Source organism: Homo sapiens, chromosome 2, assembly GCF_000001405.40.
Source record: "Homo sapiens chromosome 2, GRCh38.p14 Primary Assembly".
Taxonomy (NCBI): Eukaryota; Metazoa; Chordata; class Mammalia; order Primates; family Hominidae; genus Homo; species Homo sapiens.
Genome location: NC_000002.12, coordinates 195,594,777 through 195,614,487, shown reverse-complemented (window position 1 = coordinate 195,614,487; position 19,711 = coordinate 195,594,777). Strand labels below are relative to the sequence as shown.

At 39.5% G+C, this 19,711-nt stretch overlaps 1 protein-coding gene across 1 annotated transcript in view, besides 1 other annotated feature; it reads right to left on the bottom strand.

The window, feature by feature from the left end:
• The window catches only part of SLC39A10 (solute carrier family 39 member 10), a 124,672-nt gene extending 123,213 nt beyond the window's left edge, over positions 1-1,459 (bottom strand). Inside the window, exon 1 of the mRNA XM_011511504.3 lies at positions 1,398-1,459. The gene's annotated coding sequence lies outside the window, so the exon portion shown is untranslated. The remainder of the gene's footprint in view (positions 1-1,397) is intronic.
• Positions 852-1,713: an enhancer, noted in NCBI's record as "OCT4-NANOG-H3K27ac-H3K4me1 hESC enhancer chr2:196477499-196478360 (GRCh37/hg19 assembly coordinates)". NCBI's record gives its function as "activates a minimal SCP1, AML or CMV promoter by ChIP-STARR-seq in naive H9 embryonic stem cells {active_cell/tissue: H9 hESC(naive)}" and the evidence as "EXISTENCE:reporter gene assay evidence [ECO:0000049][PMID:30033119]".

Here is a 19,711-nt window from a genome sequence, read left to right as displayed (position 1 = left end):
AATTCTTCTCTACAAGTTCCTTAAGCAAAATGTACAGGAAATTGAATATTGGAAATGAATCCATAAAAGTGTGGAGGGCTCGGAATGCAAAAGTAGAGCTTACATGCTTAATTTTGGCACCGAAAATTCACTCAATATTTTTAAAGCCAGGATTATAATTACAATACAAACAAAAATGAAAACTTGCTCCATCATGATCTGGTTAGATGTATAACTGGTGCAAAGTAAAACAGTTGAAGACTTTTAAGCAGCAAATACTTCTCAAGCTCCTACTATGTATCAGATGCTATTCCAAGCCCTTTAACTTAATTCCTTCTGTAGTCATGGCCTTTATCTTTATTCCCAGCCAGCCAGCCTTCTGGAAAATTGATGTCATTGCTCATAGAATGAATGATCTCACAAGATAAAAGTGTGGATGACTCAGAGCAGCTCATCCATCCAACTAGAGACTAGAGACTGTCAACAGCTCAGTAACTTTGTCTGAATATGAAGGACCCGAAGGACCACTGAGATTGGAGACAGAACAAAGGTAGGGACAGAACAGGTGAAAATACACCACCGAAGATTCCTTTCTCCACATTGCTAATAAGTTTGACAACAGTTACAAAATTTAAACGGAAAATAGTTGTGGCTTTCAAAGAATAATAAATATTAGCAACCATTTTCTCTTGCTCCTATAATCCTTATATGATCTATTATTCTTTTTTAGGTTAATTTGTTGCACTGGGTAATGTTTTTATCTACCTCTGCTGAAATGCTATATAAAATCACTTCTGTGGTTAAATGTAATTGATTAATTGCAGATGAAAAAGACAGTCTAAAAGCTTTAATCTGTTGAACTTCCACTTTATTAAACTATGCATTATTACTACTAAAACACATTAGGTATTTTTATATACAATTCATAGGAGCAAAAATAAAACACTTCACAAAATAGGTTTCTGTAAGAAGTTTGTTGACAGATTTTTAAAAAGAAACTCCTAAGCACTTTCAAAATTTTAAACACTCTAAGAATATAATCAGAGAACAGCTGTACCATTCCTTTGTAATTTTATAAAGCATGCACTTACTTTGTTTGGACAAAAAGTTCACATTTGTTTTTGAGACATGCACAAGCATAGTAACAAAGGAAATGAGAAACAATGTACTGTATTAGATAGGCAAGGCACACAGACATGACAAAGGAAAAAAAATTCTCCTTTTGAGCTAAAAAGAGAAAAATGATTACTATCATCAAGGAGGAAGAAAGGCATCTCCGAGAAAGAAATATTTTCCCAGTAGTTATCTAGGAGGATAGAAGGGTGGGGTGGGGGAACAGAAGGGTGCCAGGTCAGAGAACATTGTTGATGGTCCCTATGAACAGAACTTTGATTTATACAACAAATCAATTCACTTACAGGACGTGCTTAACTTCACCTGTTGGGAGTAAGTTCAGTCTCTTTCCCTTCTTTGAATGAATGGGAAAGGTTTTCCACTCATCCGCTGCCTCCCACCACAGGAATGCTTGCTATCTGGAGAGTTGTTTTGAAACCCATAGCACTTAAAGGAGCTGTATCAACAGGTTTTTCCTTCTCCCTCACACTGAGCCAGTTGTAAAGTTGAATGAGAACCTTGAACAGGTTAAACACTATTGCAGGAATTCAAAACCAGCTCTAGCTAGGGTTCCCCCCACCAAGAGAATCTCAATTTACAATTTATCACTTCAACCTTTCTGAGGGAGGGCTGTAGAGCCAGGACTATTTCCTGGCAGTATAATACAAAGCACATTTTAAGGAAAGCCTGAAAGTTGGCCTTGGAATTTAGTTGAGACAGAGAAATGTGACTTCCCAGATGGAGCTGCTAATGTGTGTCAAGAAAACTCAAAATAGCCAAAATGTCTTTCCCACCAACGTAACAAATTCCAAGCCCTTATATACTTATTTCTACTTTTATTTTTGAGTTGGAGTCTCGCTCTGTCACCAGACAGAGTGGAGTGCAGTGGCGTGATCTCGGCTCACGGCAACCTCTGCCTCCCAGGTTCAAGCGATTCTCCTGCCTCAGTCTCTCTAGTAGCTGGGATTACAAGTGCGCGCCACCACGCCCAGCTAATTTATGTATTTTTAGAGACGAGGTTTCACCATGTTGGCCAGGATGGTCTTGATCTCTTGACCTCATGATCCACCCGCCTCAGCCTCCCAAAGTGCTGGGATTACAGGCATGAGCCACCTCACCCGGCCATATACTTATATAGAAGTATTTCTATGGTCACCACTCATCAACACAAATATTTATCTTTTTCCTCTCAACTTTGGCCTGTAGAGTTTCTATTCCATCTTGAAATAAAACTGCTTCCAGCACGTGGGTGATGGGGCAAAACACTCATCTTAGAAGCTCCACTCTACCAGCCCTAAATGCTAGAGGGAAAGTCATAGACAAACTCGAACTATATTTTAATCTTCTAATATGAATGTTAAAAACTAGAAATTGAAAAGTCATTTGTATTTTTTCCTTAGATTAACCTTTTTTTTGGTTGAAGGGCTAATGTCCAGAACTTGGCTTGCCATGTTTGCACAGCCATTTGTCACTATTTTCATATCACTTTCAATTTATTTTGCACTACCAAGTGGCTACTTTTAACAGGTTCTGTGGCTTGAAATAATTTGATTTATCATAAGGCTTCTCAAACTTCATTTGGCATAAACTTTATTGGAAATGACTGTACTATGATATCAAACATTGAACAATGATGTGATAAAGAATATGCATTTTTACTATAAGTAAACAAACAACACAATTAAAAATAAGCTGACATTCCCAAAATGAACACACAGTTTAAAAGACTATCCTTAATCTTAATGAAAGAAATTAAGATCTCTGTAATAAAAAAATAAACTACTGGGCAAATAACTTGCTATGTACAGATTATTTTAACTAGTTTCCTAGATGATCTATATACAAAAATTGAAAAGGGACAGTGTTGGTTAGGCAGTGGCTCATGCCTGTAATCCCAGCACTTTGGGAGGCCGAGGCAGGAAGATTGCTTGAGCCCAGGTGTTCAAGATCAGCCAGAGAAACACAGTGAGACCCCATCTCTTTTTTTTTTTTTTTTTAAGACAGAGTCTTGCTCTGTCACCCAGGCTGGAGTGCAGTGGCACGATCTTGGCTCACTGCAACCTCCGCCGCCTGAGTTCAAACAATTCTCATGCCTCAGCCTCCCAGGTAGCTGGCACTACCGGCGTGCACCACCACTTCCAGCTAATTTTTCGTATTTTAGTAGAGAGGGGGTTTCACCATGTTGTCCAGGCTGGTCTTGAACTCCAGAGCTCAGGCAATCCACCCACCTTGGCCTCCCAAAGTGCTTGGATTACAGGCATGAGCCATGGCGCCTGGCCTGAGACCCCACCTCTACAAAAAAATTAGAAAAAGAAACAAAGAAAAAAAAAGAAAAGGGATAATGTCTAGGTAACTAGTTAATTTATTAATGTAATAGATTCTAGGGCTCAACAAAAAACTTGAATGTCTAATTACTCTGCATTTGAGGAAGCAAAATAAAGTAACAACAAAAGCAGAGACATTTAAGGAAATGAAATAAGGAATCAAAACATAAGAGTCAGCAATGGAGATGGCTTGTCATAGTGCACAAACCATAGTGAATACTTAAAGATACATTTTACTGTGTTTCTCAGCCTCCCTGAGATTCATTCAACAGTTTGGAGTCTTCATCAAGTTAAACAACAAACAAAGCAACAACAAAAAAAGCCTTTCAGAAAAATACTTAAAGTCAACCAAATTACCTACTGAACTTTGCCCTAAAATTTGCACTAGACACTATGATTTTATCACTTTTTAAAGGGATACAACAAAGTTTTTTAAAAGAATTTCCAGAGGGCATAAAGTGTTTCCAAAAGTGAGGAAAAGAAGTCTATAATCATGTAAGCATTACTTATTTAGCCATTGCAAATTAAGATGATCAGATATCTCCATAAAATGGGAATTATTAATTTAAAATTTTATACTAACATGCCTACACATTTTCCCATCCTCCCTCCCTCCTTTTCTCCTTCCCTCTCTTTCTCTCTCTTTTCTAAAATCTGGGGCTACAGAGGAGTGAGTTAGTTTGTTTGCTTGTTTGTTTTGAGACACAGTCTTGCTCTGTCTCCCAGGCTGGAGTGCAGTGGCGCAATCTCAGCTCACTGCAACCTCCGCCTCCTGGGTTCAAGCGATTCTCCTGCCTCAGCCTCCCGAGTAGCTGGGACTACAGGGGCATGCACAGAGATTTTTCATCTTCCTTTAAATTCTGGTGCCAAAGTAACCAAACCAACGTGGAGCAAGATTAGCTGGGAACATGTAAACCCTCTGCAGAATTTTATTTATCACAATTTCTACAGGGAGTGGCATGAAAAAATTAAGAATCCACAGTGGAGATGTTCAAGGCATCTTCACGTGTAATAGCAATATTCATCAATAAAAAGATTCATCAACAGGGAAGGATATGTTGTGGTACATTCATGCCATGGAATACTATGAAACAAAATAACAAATTACTGACACATGAAAGTACATAGTTTATGGTTCCATTCACATGAAGGTAATAGCAGAGTTTACCAGGGAGGAGTTATTGGTTGGGAAAGGGCCCCAGGAGCCTTCTGTGGGCTAAAAATGTGCTAGATCTTGAGTTGAGTGAAGTATACAGGTATATCAATGCATAAACATTCATTGAGGTATAATATGATTTGCACACTTTCCTGTATCTAGGTTGTTCCACAATTTAAAATTTCAATAATGAAATTAAAGAAAAATTCACAATAGAGGGAAAAAAGTCCAAGTTAGAAAGCCGCCACCAAAATGCCAACAGGTTCAACAAAGTGGAATTCTCAAGAAAGAGAATTCCCGCTTTAAAAAGTACAGAGAAATAACCCCCTTCCCCAGGGGTTGAAAGAATGAGCAACTTGTTTTTCTTTTAAAGTTCCTTCTCTCATTAGGCATAGGAGGGAAAGTAAAGAATGATAAAACACCCCCAAAACTAGGAGGTTTGGGGGACTTCAGTTACACTTTAGAATTGTTTGGTGTCTCCTCAGAAGTTGTAGGGGGTACTCCGATTTTCTTTTGAGGGAGATGGCTGCTAAGTGACCGAGAGGACAAAGAGGAAATCGATCATCTGGGTTTCAAGTAGAGAATTAAAGTTTGGCCTCAAGCTTACTTTCTATATTGCTCAACAAGAGGGAAGACTGTGGGCAGAAGTACCATCCAGGTATGAATGATGTACATTTGGTTGGACTTTCCTTTGTGTTCTTTCTGGGAAAAACCAACAGCTTGATCTGGTAGATCAGGAGTAGAAGGATGAGAAGCCCTAGTGTTTATTTCTAGTGAAACTCTTTTGATATCATTTATGTGCTCTTCTTTTTTAAAAAGCTATTGCAAAACAAATCCCTGCCTTCGTAGCCACTTTTCTTTTTTCCAGGCTTTTTAGGCACACGATGAAGGCTTTTCTCCTATTCTCCCTCTGGGTACTCCCCAGCCGTGGGAGGTTATTTCAGACAGTAGAGGCTGTGGCTGGTGATGAATGTTTAGAAGGCTTCAGCTTGGGCCTTGAGCTTCATGATCTGGCATTCCTACCTCCCGTCTGAAATTTTAACACTAGCTCACTGTCTCATTCACTACTCAAAAGTGCTGCCAATTATAGCCTGGCTGCATTTATGAAATTGATTTAGAAATCCTAGACCAAAATGAATAGAGACAATAATGGACAATGCTAAACCTGAACATTTCATTTAAATAATATGTATGAGGGAAGATAATTAAAAACTTAGGGCCTATGTATTAGGTGTTTTGTATACATTACTGCACTTAGCCCTCATGACACCTCTATAAGCTAAAAGTTAGTATCTTCATTTTATAAGTTGAAATCTCAGACTTCAAAGAACAAAAGCTGGCCATATATGTATGATGGCTCACGCCTGTAAGCCCAGAACTTTGGGAGGCTGAGGTGAATGGATCACTTGAGCCCAAGAATTCTAGACCAGCCTGCAACATGGCAAAAAATGCATCTCTACAAAAACCACAAAAACTTAGCCAGATGTGGTGGCACACACCTGTAATGACAGCCACTGGAGAGGCTGAGGTGAGAGGACCACTTGAGCCCGGGAGACTGGGGCTGCAGTGAGCCAAGATCACACCACTGCACTCCAGCCTGGGTGACAGTGTGAGATCCTATCTTGAAAAATAAAATAAAAAATAAAGGAACAAAGGTACTAAGTGTGCACAGCTAGGTTTCAAGCTCAGATTCACCTAACTCCAAAACCATTTTATCTTACTGTTGCTCAGACAAGATTCTTACTCAACACACACAAAGCTAAATTGTTCTTTTATCCTATGACAGAACATACATGATATATTAAATCAGCTAAAATAGATGGTAACCTCCTTGAGGGCAAAGGTTGATTACTCTTCTTTTGGCGTAACATAGAGTGTGCCTTGATGTATTAGATGCATACTTCCAAATAGGTGCTCATGGGATAGATGTTGATTTTTAAAATAAATTACAAACATACACACAATACATAAATTTTCTCAAAGCATGTATAAGCATCTACATCATTGTCCTTATGGATTCAAACATGCAAAAAAATAAAATTTACACATTTAAGACGATGCAGTAAAAAGTGAAGTCAGTGCAAAGGATGGTTAGAACGCCAAATGATAACATAACCAAAAGAATTTTTAAAGCTGGGTACTGAATTGCATTTGCCTGTCTTTAGCCTAAAAGCAAATTGGTTAATGTTTGTTATTCCACAATTAACAAGAAAGGAAGAATAAAGCCTTTCATGGCATAACTGATCCTAAATACAAAATCACTTCAAAAAACAAAAACATGCAAATACAAGATGTTCTGCTTATACAAGATGAAACCTAAATGAGCAGACTAAAATCTAACTGTTAGTAAATTTATACCCTCATAACCAGTTCTTTACACCAAAAAATCCAAAAGCTGACTGAAAACTTTATTTACTGCGCTTCTCCCCCATTTTACTTTCTTTGTGTGGAATAAAAGTTCTGAAAAAGATTTAAATTCTTAATGCCTTATTTTTTCATGAAAATTATAGTCTGAACTAGCTTATTTACTTTTAAATTCAATCATAATTTCTCACTCAGAGAACTGTACCTAGGCCTTTCGTTTCTGTGTTGTCAATGATTCTTTGTAGTTAAAGACACGCAGATTTCCAAGGTGGTGTGCTTTGTTATTTTCTTCTTACTATTAAAATTCTGAGCTTGCCTGAAGGTAAGTAACTCAGAATTTTAAATTACTTCATAGAATAAAAATGGCTTCTTTCAATAATGAATGCTTATTTGGCTTTCTGGTAGAATTATCCAGGTTTTCAAGTTTGTGGTGGTTGTATTCGTGCTTCAGAATTATCTAAGGATGAGTTTGGTTGTGATTCTAAATCTACTCATAAGTAGTTAATCTCCATCCCAATATATTTGGTTAAGTCCAGTTTTGAGATGATAAGAAAAAGAAAAACAACACCCAGTGTTTCTTCCTTTCAAGACCTTGTCTTCATTACTTTCTTCATGATACGTTATTGCAGTAAACAGACATTCCTGAAATGTTAATAATGTGTACCTATGCACTGTAATTTTTTTCCTCCATTATTCAAAAATGTTTCCTCTTATTGTTTACTTTTGTGATTCTCCTTTCAACATTTTTTAGAGTGGTCATTTTCTATCAAAAGGAATGTCTTATGTTGACTAAATTTGGGGAGGGGGCATCTCTTTTCAATCATTTTGAGTTACTTTTGCATACAGCCTTTGGTCCACATTATACTTCTTAAACCAATCTGTTTGGGCACATAAATTTCCTTCTTGTTCCTGCTTCTCCATTTTTAATGCTTGTCATTGTCTCAGCATTCTCTCAGTTTTAAGTCGCATTTTTTTTTTCTATTCCTTTGTATGAATCTACATATTTCTTCCTTTTAATTGGTAGCCACTTCATTCTGTTTTAAGGTCTTTAAAATTTACTTTTGGTCCCCATTGAGTCCCCTGTTGATGTCCATTTAGTAACACACCAAAGATTTACTGAATGGCACACTCCCTAAATATGACACTTCTGGTGTGTGGATGGAGGGCATGTCTGTCACTCTCAGAATGACTCCAGGATGACTGAAGACATTGTTACCCAAAAATCAACTACTAAAAGAAATGTCCAACTGTTTAACCAATAGTATATACTATACCATTTAACAAATGGTTAAAAAAAAAAAAAAAGAAAGAAACTTACCCTTTAAAGATTTCAGTAGATGATATAGGATCTTTACTTCTTTATTTCAATTCAATCCAACTCAGGTAACAATTATTGAAGCCTCTCAGGTCCAGGGGCTGTGGAGACCACAAATAGAAGGATAAAGCAAGCCCCTCCTCTTAAATTTGCATTCATTTAGATCAGCTAAGGCTTTCAAACACCAAACTTTATATAAAGTGTTTTCCTGGAAGGGTGTGTAGTAACTGTTTTCTCCAGCCAGTGAGGATCTTAGATTCCCCTATTTTTAAAGCTTCAGGTTGTTCTTCAGCTATTCCTTTTATGTTGAATATCCTCAGGGGATTATGCCCACTTTTCTATTTAATGTATTTTAATTCAGCCTTGTAATGATCTCTATATATGTATTCATGAGCTCATATTTCCCTTAGGACTTACACAGGTAGCAGAAATTACATTGGCATTCTTTACTACTTCCTGGCAATTGCAAGTCTGACTTCATAAATACTTCTATTTCTGTGCTTGCATCTAAAAGTTTCAGAGACACTGTGATTACTTGATTACATAAATAAAACAAGGTCTTTTGGACTGATTTGTTTTACAATACCATGACTATAGCAAACTGGCAACACACACAATACAGAGTCTGGCTTTTCCTCTTCTTTAAATCATATCCCCACCCAACCAACCTCAACTTTTTTCTTTTTCTCCCTGTGAAAGATCCCTTTGAAATCTTGCAGGGTTTGTATCCTTTCTCATAGCATGCATTATGCTCCTACCCTGAGTATAATATTTCATGCTTACTTTGTTGACCTTATTGGCCCTAGGACAAAAAATACCTTTTGCATTTGAAGACAAAGAAAAGCATTTTTCTTCCCATTTCTTTCTTCTTTGGGCAAGGAAAGTGGGATGAGAGGGTGGGTGGGAGAGAAGTAATGCCCAAAAGAGAAACCGGTGAATCCTGATACAACCATATGCGGCATCTTCAAGGAAGGTATGGTCTGGAGGGATTCTTAATTGAAATGATATCAAATACCACCTCCTAACTCAAACAACTCAATAGCAAGAAAACAATTAACCTCATCAAAAAACCGGCAAAAGGACCTAAATACATTTCTCAAAAGAAAACAAGCAGATGGCCAACAGATACATATAAAAATACTCAGCATCATTAATCCTCAGGGAAATGCAAATTAAAACCACAATAATATACCATCTCACACCTTTTAGAATTACTATTATCAAAAAGATGAAAGATAATAACTGTCGGCAAGGGTGTGGTGAAAAAGGAACCCTAGTGCGCTGATAGTGGAAATGTAAATGAACACAGCCACGATGGAAAACAGTATAGAGGTTCCTCTACACTGAAACTAGAATTACCGTATGATTCAGCAATCCCACTACTGGGTGCATATTCAAAGAAAATGGAATCAGTATGTAAAAGAAGTATCTGCATTCCCATGTTCATTGCAGAATATATATATATATGTATAAATATACGTGTGTGTGTATATATATATATTGCATATATATTTTGAGACAGGGTCTCACTCTGTGACTCAGGGTAGAGTGCAGTAGCACAGTCATGGTTCACTGCAGCCTTAACCTCCCCAGGCTCAGGCGATCCTCCTACCTCAGACTCCCTAGTAGCTGGGACTACAGGTGCCACCACGCTCAGCTAATTTTTATATTTTTTGTAGAGACAGGGTTTTGTCACGTTGTCCAGGCTGGTCTAGACCTCCTGACCTCAAGCAATCCACCCGTCTCAGCCTCTCAAAGTGCTGGAATTACAGGTGTTAGCCACCACACCTGGCCAGTTAAATTCTAAGGTGAAAAAAAAAAAGAGAGAAACTTCTCAACTTGGAAGACTAAGCATTGTTCCCTGTTGAACTATATAACCAGACCCCCTGTGCCTTGCTTAGGGTAAGAAACAGCCTACATCTGTCCGGGGGCTGTAGTCACTATGCAGTGGCTCTTTGCCTGAAATATGGGAAGCAAGCACCAATGAAGAGAGCAAAATAAGGAAATGAATATGGAGGCCAAGATTTACTAGATTAGGTCACAGTCCAGAAAGACCAAATGTAGATGGGCCGTTAGACGCCGGGTAAACAAGTTGATCTTAGGCATTTGCATTATGAATCTCTTGCCTCATATCACTTTGTTCAAAGTGAAGGCAATATAATGTTTAAGAATGCATTAATTCAGGGTCTGAAACCAAAGCACATATTTTACAAAGTAAACAAGACCTGAAGCAATAAAAGAGTGCATAATTTGGGGTCAGATAGATCTGGGTTTGAGTCTTGGCATTGACATTTATTGTGTTAGTTACATAACCACACACACAAACACCTCCCCTCCCATACCCTCCAAGACTGTTTCTTTATTTGTAAAATAGGATAATAATTAAACATACTTCATTGAGTACTTGTTGTGCAGGTTGGATGACTTAATGTATGTAAATGAAGTCCTTAGCACAGTGCCTGACATTCTCAGTGGATGGTAGTTAAAAACAAGCAATGAAACATCAACTGCTCAGCAACTCCTATCTGGAAAAAGGTGACAGGATTGAAGAAAGCCTGTGGCACGGGAAATCAAACAGACTCTATCCCTCTGAACAAGGGCTGTCACACGCCCTCTGTCCTCTTGTTATTTTAGATTCCCTTCATACTCCCCTGCCTTGCCATGGCCAGACGCTGCTAAAGACATTTCTTCATTTGACAAATGTCTAATAAGTGCCAACTCTGTGTCAAGTAGTCAGCTATGGGTTAGGGATATATTGGCGAACACCTCACAGAAATATTTGAAAAGATAGTTAATAAATAAGATAACCACACAAATACAAATAAGTGTCACTTGTAAGAAGAAAAAAAACCAGCTGGGCGCGGTGGCTCACGCCTGTAATCCCAGCACTTTGGGAGTCCAAGGCGGGCGGATCACGAGGTCAGGAGATCGAGACCATCCTGGCTAACACGGTGAAACCCCGTCTCTACTAAAAATACAAAAAATTAGCCGGGCATGGTGGCGGGCACCTGTAGTCCCAGCTACTCGGGAGGCTGAGGCAGGAGAATGGCATGAACCCAGGAGGCGGAGGTTGCAGTGAGCCGAGATAGCGCCACTGCACTCCGGCCTAGGCGAAAGAGATTCCGTCTCAAAAAACAAACAAACAAACAAACAAACAAAACCAGGATTCCTCTCTAGGTGGGTTGACAAAACAAGATCTCTGTGAGGAAGGGAAATTTAAGCCGAGACACACCAAAGATAAGAGCGGCCGTGGTTTTTCTCCACACGTTATGGCCTTTCTCTGAAGAGCTTGTGATAATCACCAGCCTTATCTGCCCTGTAACTTCCTTGTACTCCCTGGCTATCATTCTCTGGAAGTAATATCAAGAGACATCAAGGACAAACTATTTACTAAACTAGAGTGACCCTGCGACCACACTCACAGATATAGCCACCAGGCAGCCACATGCATATTTGCACTGGCTATTACTACGTAAGCACGCCAGACAAGCCAAGTACCCTGGCATGAGTCTGTATTCTCCTGCCTATGGGGAAGGGTGGCTTTTTCTACTTCACACAGGTAGAGCTGGCCAGTGGCCCTGGACATCCTCAAAATAAAAGTACACTCAGAAACCAGTGACAGGTTTTAATTTTTTTTAAGAAATGAGGTTTCACTATGTTGCTTAGGCTGGTCTTGAACTCCTGGGCTCAAGTGATACTCCCGCCTCAGCCTCCCAAAGTGCTTGAGCACAGGGATTACAGGTATGAACCACAATGCCTGGCTGAGTTAAAGGTTTTCAAAAGAAGGCTGGCAGGTCAGGCGCAGTGGCTCACACCTGTAATCCCGATACTTTGGGAGGCTGAGGCAGGCAGATCACTCGAGGTCAGGGGTTCAAGACCAGCCTGGCCAACATGGTGAAACCTGGTTTCTACCCAAAATATAAAAATTACCCGGGTGTGGTGGGTAATCCCAGCTACTCGGGAGGCTGAGACAGGAGAATCACTTGAACCCGGGAGGCGGATGTTGCAGTGAGCTGAGATCACGCCATTGCACTCCAGCCTGGGAGACAGAACGAGACTCCGTCTCAAAAAAAAAAAAAAAAAAAGAGGCTGGCACTGAAGTGTCCTCCCAGGACAACCCAACATAATACCTAAGTATAAGAGTTATAGAGAACCCATAGTACTATAGCCATAGTACTATAGACTTGCACCATGATTTATAACCCCGTGTTTTTTTTTTTGTTTTGTTTTTGTTTTTTGAGATGGAGTCTCGCTCTTGTTGCCCAGGCTGGAGTGCAATGGCACGATCTCGTCTCACTGCAACCTCCGCCTCCCAGGCTCAAGTGATTCTCCTGCCTTAGCCTCCCAAGTAGGCTGGGATTACAGGCTCCCACCGCACACTCAGCTAATTTTTGTATTTTTAGTAGAGACAAGGTTTTACCATGTTGGCCAGGCTGGTCTCAAATTTCTGACCTCAGGTGATCTGCCTGCCTCGGCCTCCCAGAGTGCTGGGATTACAGGCGTGAGCTACTGCACCCGGCCTATAACCCTTTTTTTTTTTTTTTGCTTCAGGAAAAGTGTGTGTTTCCTCCTCTTGGCATCTTAAGGAAGACAGAGAGTCTGTGCTGGCTTTCTAGCTCAGTGGCACGGTGCGGGGACATCTGGCCAAGGGAGGGGCAGCCTGGGCGCCCCCTTGCCTGAGTCCTCACACAAGCCCTCACTTCTTCCAGCAAGGGCTCCTACAAGAGGTCTCTGTCTGGCACTGATGGTCCTCAAAACTATGACTAATGGTCTCCTTCTCAGGTTCTCAAAACTGAACGGTTCTTGTTAGATTTGGAATGATTCTCCTTCATACCAGAGCAGAATCATTCTTCCTGATTACATAAAACAAGGCACAAAGAAGCTCTTTGGGGTTGTAGTAAGTGGTGGGAGTAACAGGAGAAGAAATAGGAGAGAAATGTAGGTAACCACGAGCTAAAAACAACAGAATGTCAAGTGATTGTTGGCATACTCAGAGCAGTATCTAATTAAAATATTTCAGGAGGTAGAGGAAAGATTTTTATAGAGAATCAAGTTAAGTTAGTTTCAATAGGTTTAACAACAACAACAACAATCCACATATAATATTCTCTTGGCTAGCTGTCTTATATATTAAAATCTAGAATTATGCAGATACTTTCTCAGGCTAAGACATGTTTTGGCCTAATTAAAAACATCTCAGACTAGCACACACACAGGACTCTATGATTTTAAAGATAGCACTCATACTTAAGGCAAGAACTAGCAAAACTGGCCAGACTTGATTTCTAGCAAGGTTTTCTTGGAGGAAGTTAAGAAAGATAAAGAAGAAAAAGGTCTCTTAGAGAATTGAAATGACAGCAGAGCTGGACATCAATAGTGTGCAAACTTGACATGGATTAATTTGGATGCACCAATTAAGAAAAATATAACCCTGGCCAGGTGCAGTGGCTCACACCTGTAATCCCAGCACTTTGGGAGGCCGAGGTGGGTGGATCATCTGAGGTCAGGAATTTGAGACCAGTCCGACCAACAAGGTGAAATCCCGTCTCTGCCCAAAATACAAAAATTAGCCAGGCGTGGTGGCACGTGCCTGTAATCCCAGCTATTCGGGAGGTTGAGGCAGGAGAATCACTTGAACCTGGGAGGTGGAGGTTGCAGTGAGCTGAGATCGCGCCACTGCACTCCAGCCTGGGCAATAAGAATGAGCGAGATTCCGTCTCAAAAAAAAAAAAAAGAAAAGAAAAAAGAAAAATGTAACCCTCCTGCCACATTTGAAGACTGCACAAATTATAACTCTAGTTAATACGTTTTAAAATTCTAAATTAGTCACAATCCCAATCCAGAGATCCTGGTTTCTCTACCAAGCTAATATATTTATAGTAATTTCAAGGGTATTGTAAAAATCTCAGAATAAAATTAATATTGATTTGCCTGAATTTTAAAAAGAAATAAACACGAAATATAAGTTTGTGGGGGGATGGTGAGGTTACTCTAAAAAGACTGATAATCTCTACTGCAAGAACTACCATTTTTATTCCTGGGCCACAAACATGGCTGACAGCTCTTTTGCAGAGTTATGCAAAGAAACAAAAGCTTTGTAAAGAAAGAGTGCAATAAGAAATTTGCAATCATTCAAGAATGTACTTATGATATAAAAATTTCAGGGCCATGCAACCATAAAAAAGAATGAGATCCTGTTCTTTGCAGGGACATGGATGAAGCTGGAAACCATCATTCTCAGCAAACTAACACAGGAACAGAAAACCAAACACCGCATGTTCTCACTTATAAGTGGGAGTTGAACAATGAAAACACATGGACACAGGGAGAAGAACATTACACAACAGGGCCTGTCAGTGGGTGGAGGGCAAAGGGAGGGATAGCATTAGGACAAATACCTAATGCATGCAGGGCTTAAAACCTAGATGACGGGTTGATAGGTGCAGCAAACCACCATGGCACGTGTATACCTATGTAACAAACTTGCCCGTTCTGCACATGTATCCCGAAACTTAAAGTAAAAAAAAAAAAAAAAAAAAAAATCAGTGCCATCTCTCTTTTTTTTTTTTTTTTTTTTTCTGGTCTCAGTCCCTACCCATCCTCAGCTGTTTACCATGAAATCAAATTTGTACTGACTTGCCATATACAGATTTGAGGGCTTTTTCTCTGGTATGTTTTCTTTTGGAACAGTATTGAAAGGCAGCTATCTCTTGAAGTTTAAATAATCAGAAATACAGTAAACGCTGCAGTGATAGACCTAGAAATGCAAACTACATGGCCTTTCAGCTTAATACTCATATGCAATTGCTTGGGTGCTAGTGTAGATACACTAATTACATTCGAATTATTCCTCAGCCAGCCTAATCTTTAGAATTCTCGGTGAGGGTGAAAATGAAAATCGTCACCATAATATAGATCATTCATTCACACAACAAATATTTGCAAAGAACCTACAGTTCTAGGTGCTTGGGATACAGCAGCGAACAAACTGTATCAATACTATCAAACAACTTGAACTAAATGACATATATAGAACACTCCATGCAAAAAATAACAATTCGCATTTTTTTCAGCATAAATGGAACATTCAAGAAGTTACATCAAATTTTGGACTTAAACATATATCAATAAATTTGTAGGAATTTAAATTTTAAAAAAGATGTTCCCGGCCGTAACGGAAGGAAATTATGGGGTTCAAGACATGTTAGCCCAAAATATGGTACCTCGACATTTGAGAAAACAGCAGAAGCAGGAAGCCTTCTCTTCCCATCACTCTTCTCCTCTGAGGCAGGTCATAAGACTCTCATTACAAGGGCCCTCTCTTGCTAAGTTCTCCCAGTTTATTAACATTAGTTCATACTCCTTTTGTCCTCCAATCATATTTTCCCAAAACTGTTCACTTTTCATCAAACCTAAGCATGAATATATACGGGTTTCCCTGTTTCCTTGTTTCCGTAATGAATGTACTCATGTCACACAACATTTATATTGAATAAATGTGTATGCTTTTCTCATTAATGTCTTTTATTTTATTTTATTTTTTGGAGATGGGGGTCTCCCTCTGTCACCCAGGCTGGACTGCAGTGGCACAATCATGGCTCACTGCAGCCTTGACCTCTTGGGCTCAAGCAATCCTCCCACCTCAGCCTCCTGAGTAGCTGGGACTATAGGCATGCACCACCATGCATGGCTAATTTTTTTATTTTTTGTAGAGACAGGGTCTCACTATATAGCCCAGGCTGGATTCAAACTTCTGGGCTCAAGGGATCCTCTGCCTTGCCAACACACCTGGCTCTTAATGTCTTCTGTTATAGGGGTCTCAGCTATGAACCTAGCAGTGGATAAGAAATCTTTCCTTCTCCACAGAAACGAGGTATCAATAATTTTCAAGATACATGGAAAATCCTCAAATATTTGAATTAAGCAACGTACTTCTAAATAGCACATGGTAATAAGAAGAAAATACACTTATGTGAATACAAATTTAAAATACAACATATTGGGCCTGGTGTGGTCACTTACACCTGTAATCCCAGCACTTTTGGAGGCCGAGGTGGGTGGATCACTTGAGCCCAGGAGTTCGAGACAAGCCTGGGCAACATAGTGAAACTCCGCGTGGTGGCGGAAGCCTGTTGTCCCAGCTACTTGGGAGATGGCGGTAGGATGATCAGTTACACCTGGGAAATCATGGCTGCAGTGAGCCGTGATCGCACCACTGCACTCCAGCGTAGGTGATAGAGCAAGTCCGTATCTCAAAAAAAAAAAAAAAAAAAAAGTTACGTTATGCTGCCAAAACAGTGTTTGGTGAGAAATTTATAACATTAAATGCTTATGTTAGAAGAGAAGAAAGGTTTAAAATGAATGCACTAAGCTTTCACATTAAGCAACTGGAACAAATTAAACTTAAGGTAAACAGAAGGATGAAAAAGGATAAAGAGTAGGAATTAATGAATCAGAAAATGGATCATAATAATAAAAGTTGAAAAAAAATTAGAAGCTATATACATGACCAAAAACTTCAGTCTAATCAAGGGTAAAATTTGTTTGCAACATGTTGCTAAATTGATTTCTCACTTGCTAAGAAAATCTATAAAATCCTATCATTTCTTTCAAAAGAGGATGTTTGAAAGCAGCAGCACATTCATATTTAAAATTGAAGTAACATAGTTACAAAAAAAATAAAATGGAAGAAGCAAACAGAAAAAAAGGAACAAATTTAAACACTTTATTGATTGGTAAAAACACTTAAGAGAATAAGAAAAATAAACCAAGAGAAATGATATTGTTCAAAAGTCAAAAAGAAAGACATATATAAATCAAGAGGAAAATAGCTTTAATCTCCTAATTAGGAGGCAGAAATAGAGAAAAAAATCCAACCAGATGGGCAGGGCTCTGAGGGCAGCCTTATTATTGGATTTGTGGCTGCCAAATAGTGTAGGCCATTTCCAGAAATTGGGTTCTATACTGTAAGAATTTAGTATCTAGAGATGTGACATTAATTAAATATCAGTTTTTGCAACAAGCCCTATATTCAGAAGAGACTCCCTAGCTTCTGCAGAACACACTGCCAGCCAACATATTAATAGTTGAGGGGTATTTCTTCCATTTCAAGATGACAGCTGCATTCCTTTCTTTGGCAATTAGACTTTCAACTCTCTGGGGAATGAAGATTCTTTGCAGATTTGCAACAATTATCTTAACTTGCCTTGTACTACTTTACTGTTGCTTTGCACTGCCCCCGCTGATCTGCTGGTCAGTTCTGCTACTCATGCCTGATGAAGCTATTGTAAAAGATAGAAGAAACTGAGAAGCCCAGTGTGTTGACTTAGGACATTTCATTTTCTCTTTAAAAGCAGACATCCTTGTAATCTACGCCCTCGTACCATAACTTTTCCTTCTATTTCTGTAACTTATTAAACGAAGGCACCATGCATTGAATGATTTTTCATACCAAATGATCTTGATAGATGCTCATTCCTGAAGTACCTGCTGTATTAAATATTTAAGGGCAAAAGATTCTGAGAAGGTACGACCTTGGCAGAACGTCGTTCAAGCCTAATGAAAATGAGCATATTCTTGAAAATGCTACAGAGCATACACAGAAGTAAATAATTCCAATGCAATGAGATATTTCCCTCAGCAGTTTGTGAGGCAAGTGAGATTTCTGAAAAGCATTGCCAGCTTGTGGGGAATGGCACAGAGATGAAGATTGATCCTTTACCTGTATCTGCATCCAGTGGGACTGAACAGCCCACAGCACTTGTGGGCAACGGGTTTCAAAGGGGCTATGGGTGCAAGAGGTGGAGCCAAATGCAGGGCTTTAAGAGACTGTTAAACTCACTTCCAGGAGCCTCATCTCACAGAACGACTGTGACGCTGATGCTGAAGCCATCAACTAACTCCACCATTACCAGAGTTGTTGCCCAAAGAATGCTTCAAAGGGGCTAAAGAACCAAGCCATCCAATATTTTGGCTAGGCTATATTGCTCAACTTAAATGTGTTCTAAGGTCATCGTTTGCATTCAGCTGAGTTGTTGTGACTAGTTTGTGTGAGGTTATAGCACATTCTTATAATTTCGTGTTGCCTTGACACCCATTTTGAGTATAAGCTGGGCTTTCTCATACCAGAAGCAAGACTTCCTCATCCTTGACAGTTTTCAGTTCTCTGTCTCTTCCCAGTTCCTCAGTGTGCTTGATCCAGATGTCTTATCGGCCTCTTGCTGTCCACCTCCCTATGGTAGAGCTAAATGCAATCTGCTTGACTCACCCCACTGACCCCACACCCTGCATGGACTTCACAGATATGCCTCAATGACCATCTTAGTCCACAAGTGCCTCCGTGGAACTTGTGCCTGCTTGCTCTAGACTCACTGATTAGAACGCCGCACTGGAAACCTGCTCAGGTAACACCCTGGACCCCAATAAAGGCTTTAGCCCTCTTGTCTTTTCTCTCCTTCTCTCTCGCTCCCCATCAAGCATGTGTGTCCTGGATGGGCCCCTACTTTGCATTTCCCCTTCCAGGCATGCAGCCCTCTTCTTTTCGGACCTGTAAGTAATAAACTGCTTCTGTTATTTCATGTGTTTTGTTGAGTGGTCTCCTCTGTGTCTTACCTGGCTGACACAGCTGAACCTAACTTCTTTCCTGATCAGAGCTCTCCTAGAGATTGGCTTTCTTACAAGATTAAACAGGACACAGGTCAGATGAGAGCCACAAGTTTCTCTGCCAATATAAACAAGTTTCCTGTGAGAGGGACACCTGATCAGAGGTTGGACACTTAGACATTAGGCTGTCCACTATCATAAAGAAGTATCCTGTGAAAAGCACCCTGTAAACATCCACAACCACCATCCCTGAAGCCCCATCAGCGCAGGGCTAGAATTTATAGTCATTCTCCAGAGAGACACCTCAAGACCAAATTTGAAGAAAATACGAGACATGTCAATTAATTTGTTGTTCACAAGTTGTAAAATTGGCATAAATGTTTGAAGTTTACTTAATACATACACAAGGGTGGATTCATAGCTTTCCTTATATTCATTTGCATTCTACAACTCTGAGTGTGAAATGAGGGATTTCAATACAGCTAGGAATTCCTGGAATTGTATATAATCTCGGGCACACCCAAGCAAGCATTTACCCCCTACTAACATCACCCACTATGTGCATCAGCAAGATAATTGAGAAGCAGTCTGATAAAGCTGTCGTACTATTGTAAATTCAATTGTTCTGTTTTTTGTTTGTTTGTTTGTTTGTCTTTAAAAAAAAAAAAGATTACCTAGGACCCAAGAAAAAGTACTGCACTCTTTAGGCTCTAATAGTGAGATAATAAACTTGGCTAAATTAGAATTACAACTAGATTTTTAATTCAAAAGAGTATCTTTCCTCTGTTTAAAGGAAGCTGGTTATTATTTGCCCAGAAAGATATTCTTATGGCTTCTTCAGTTAATCAAAGATGAATT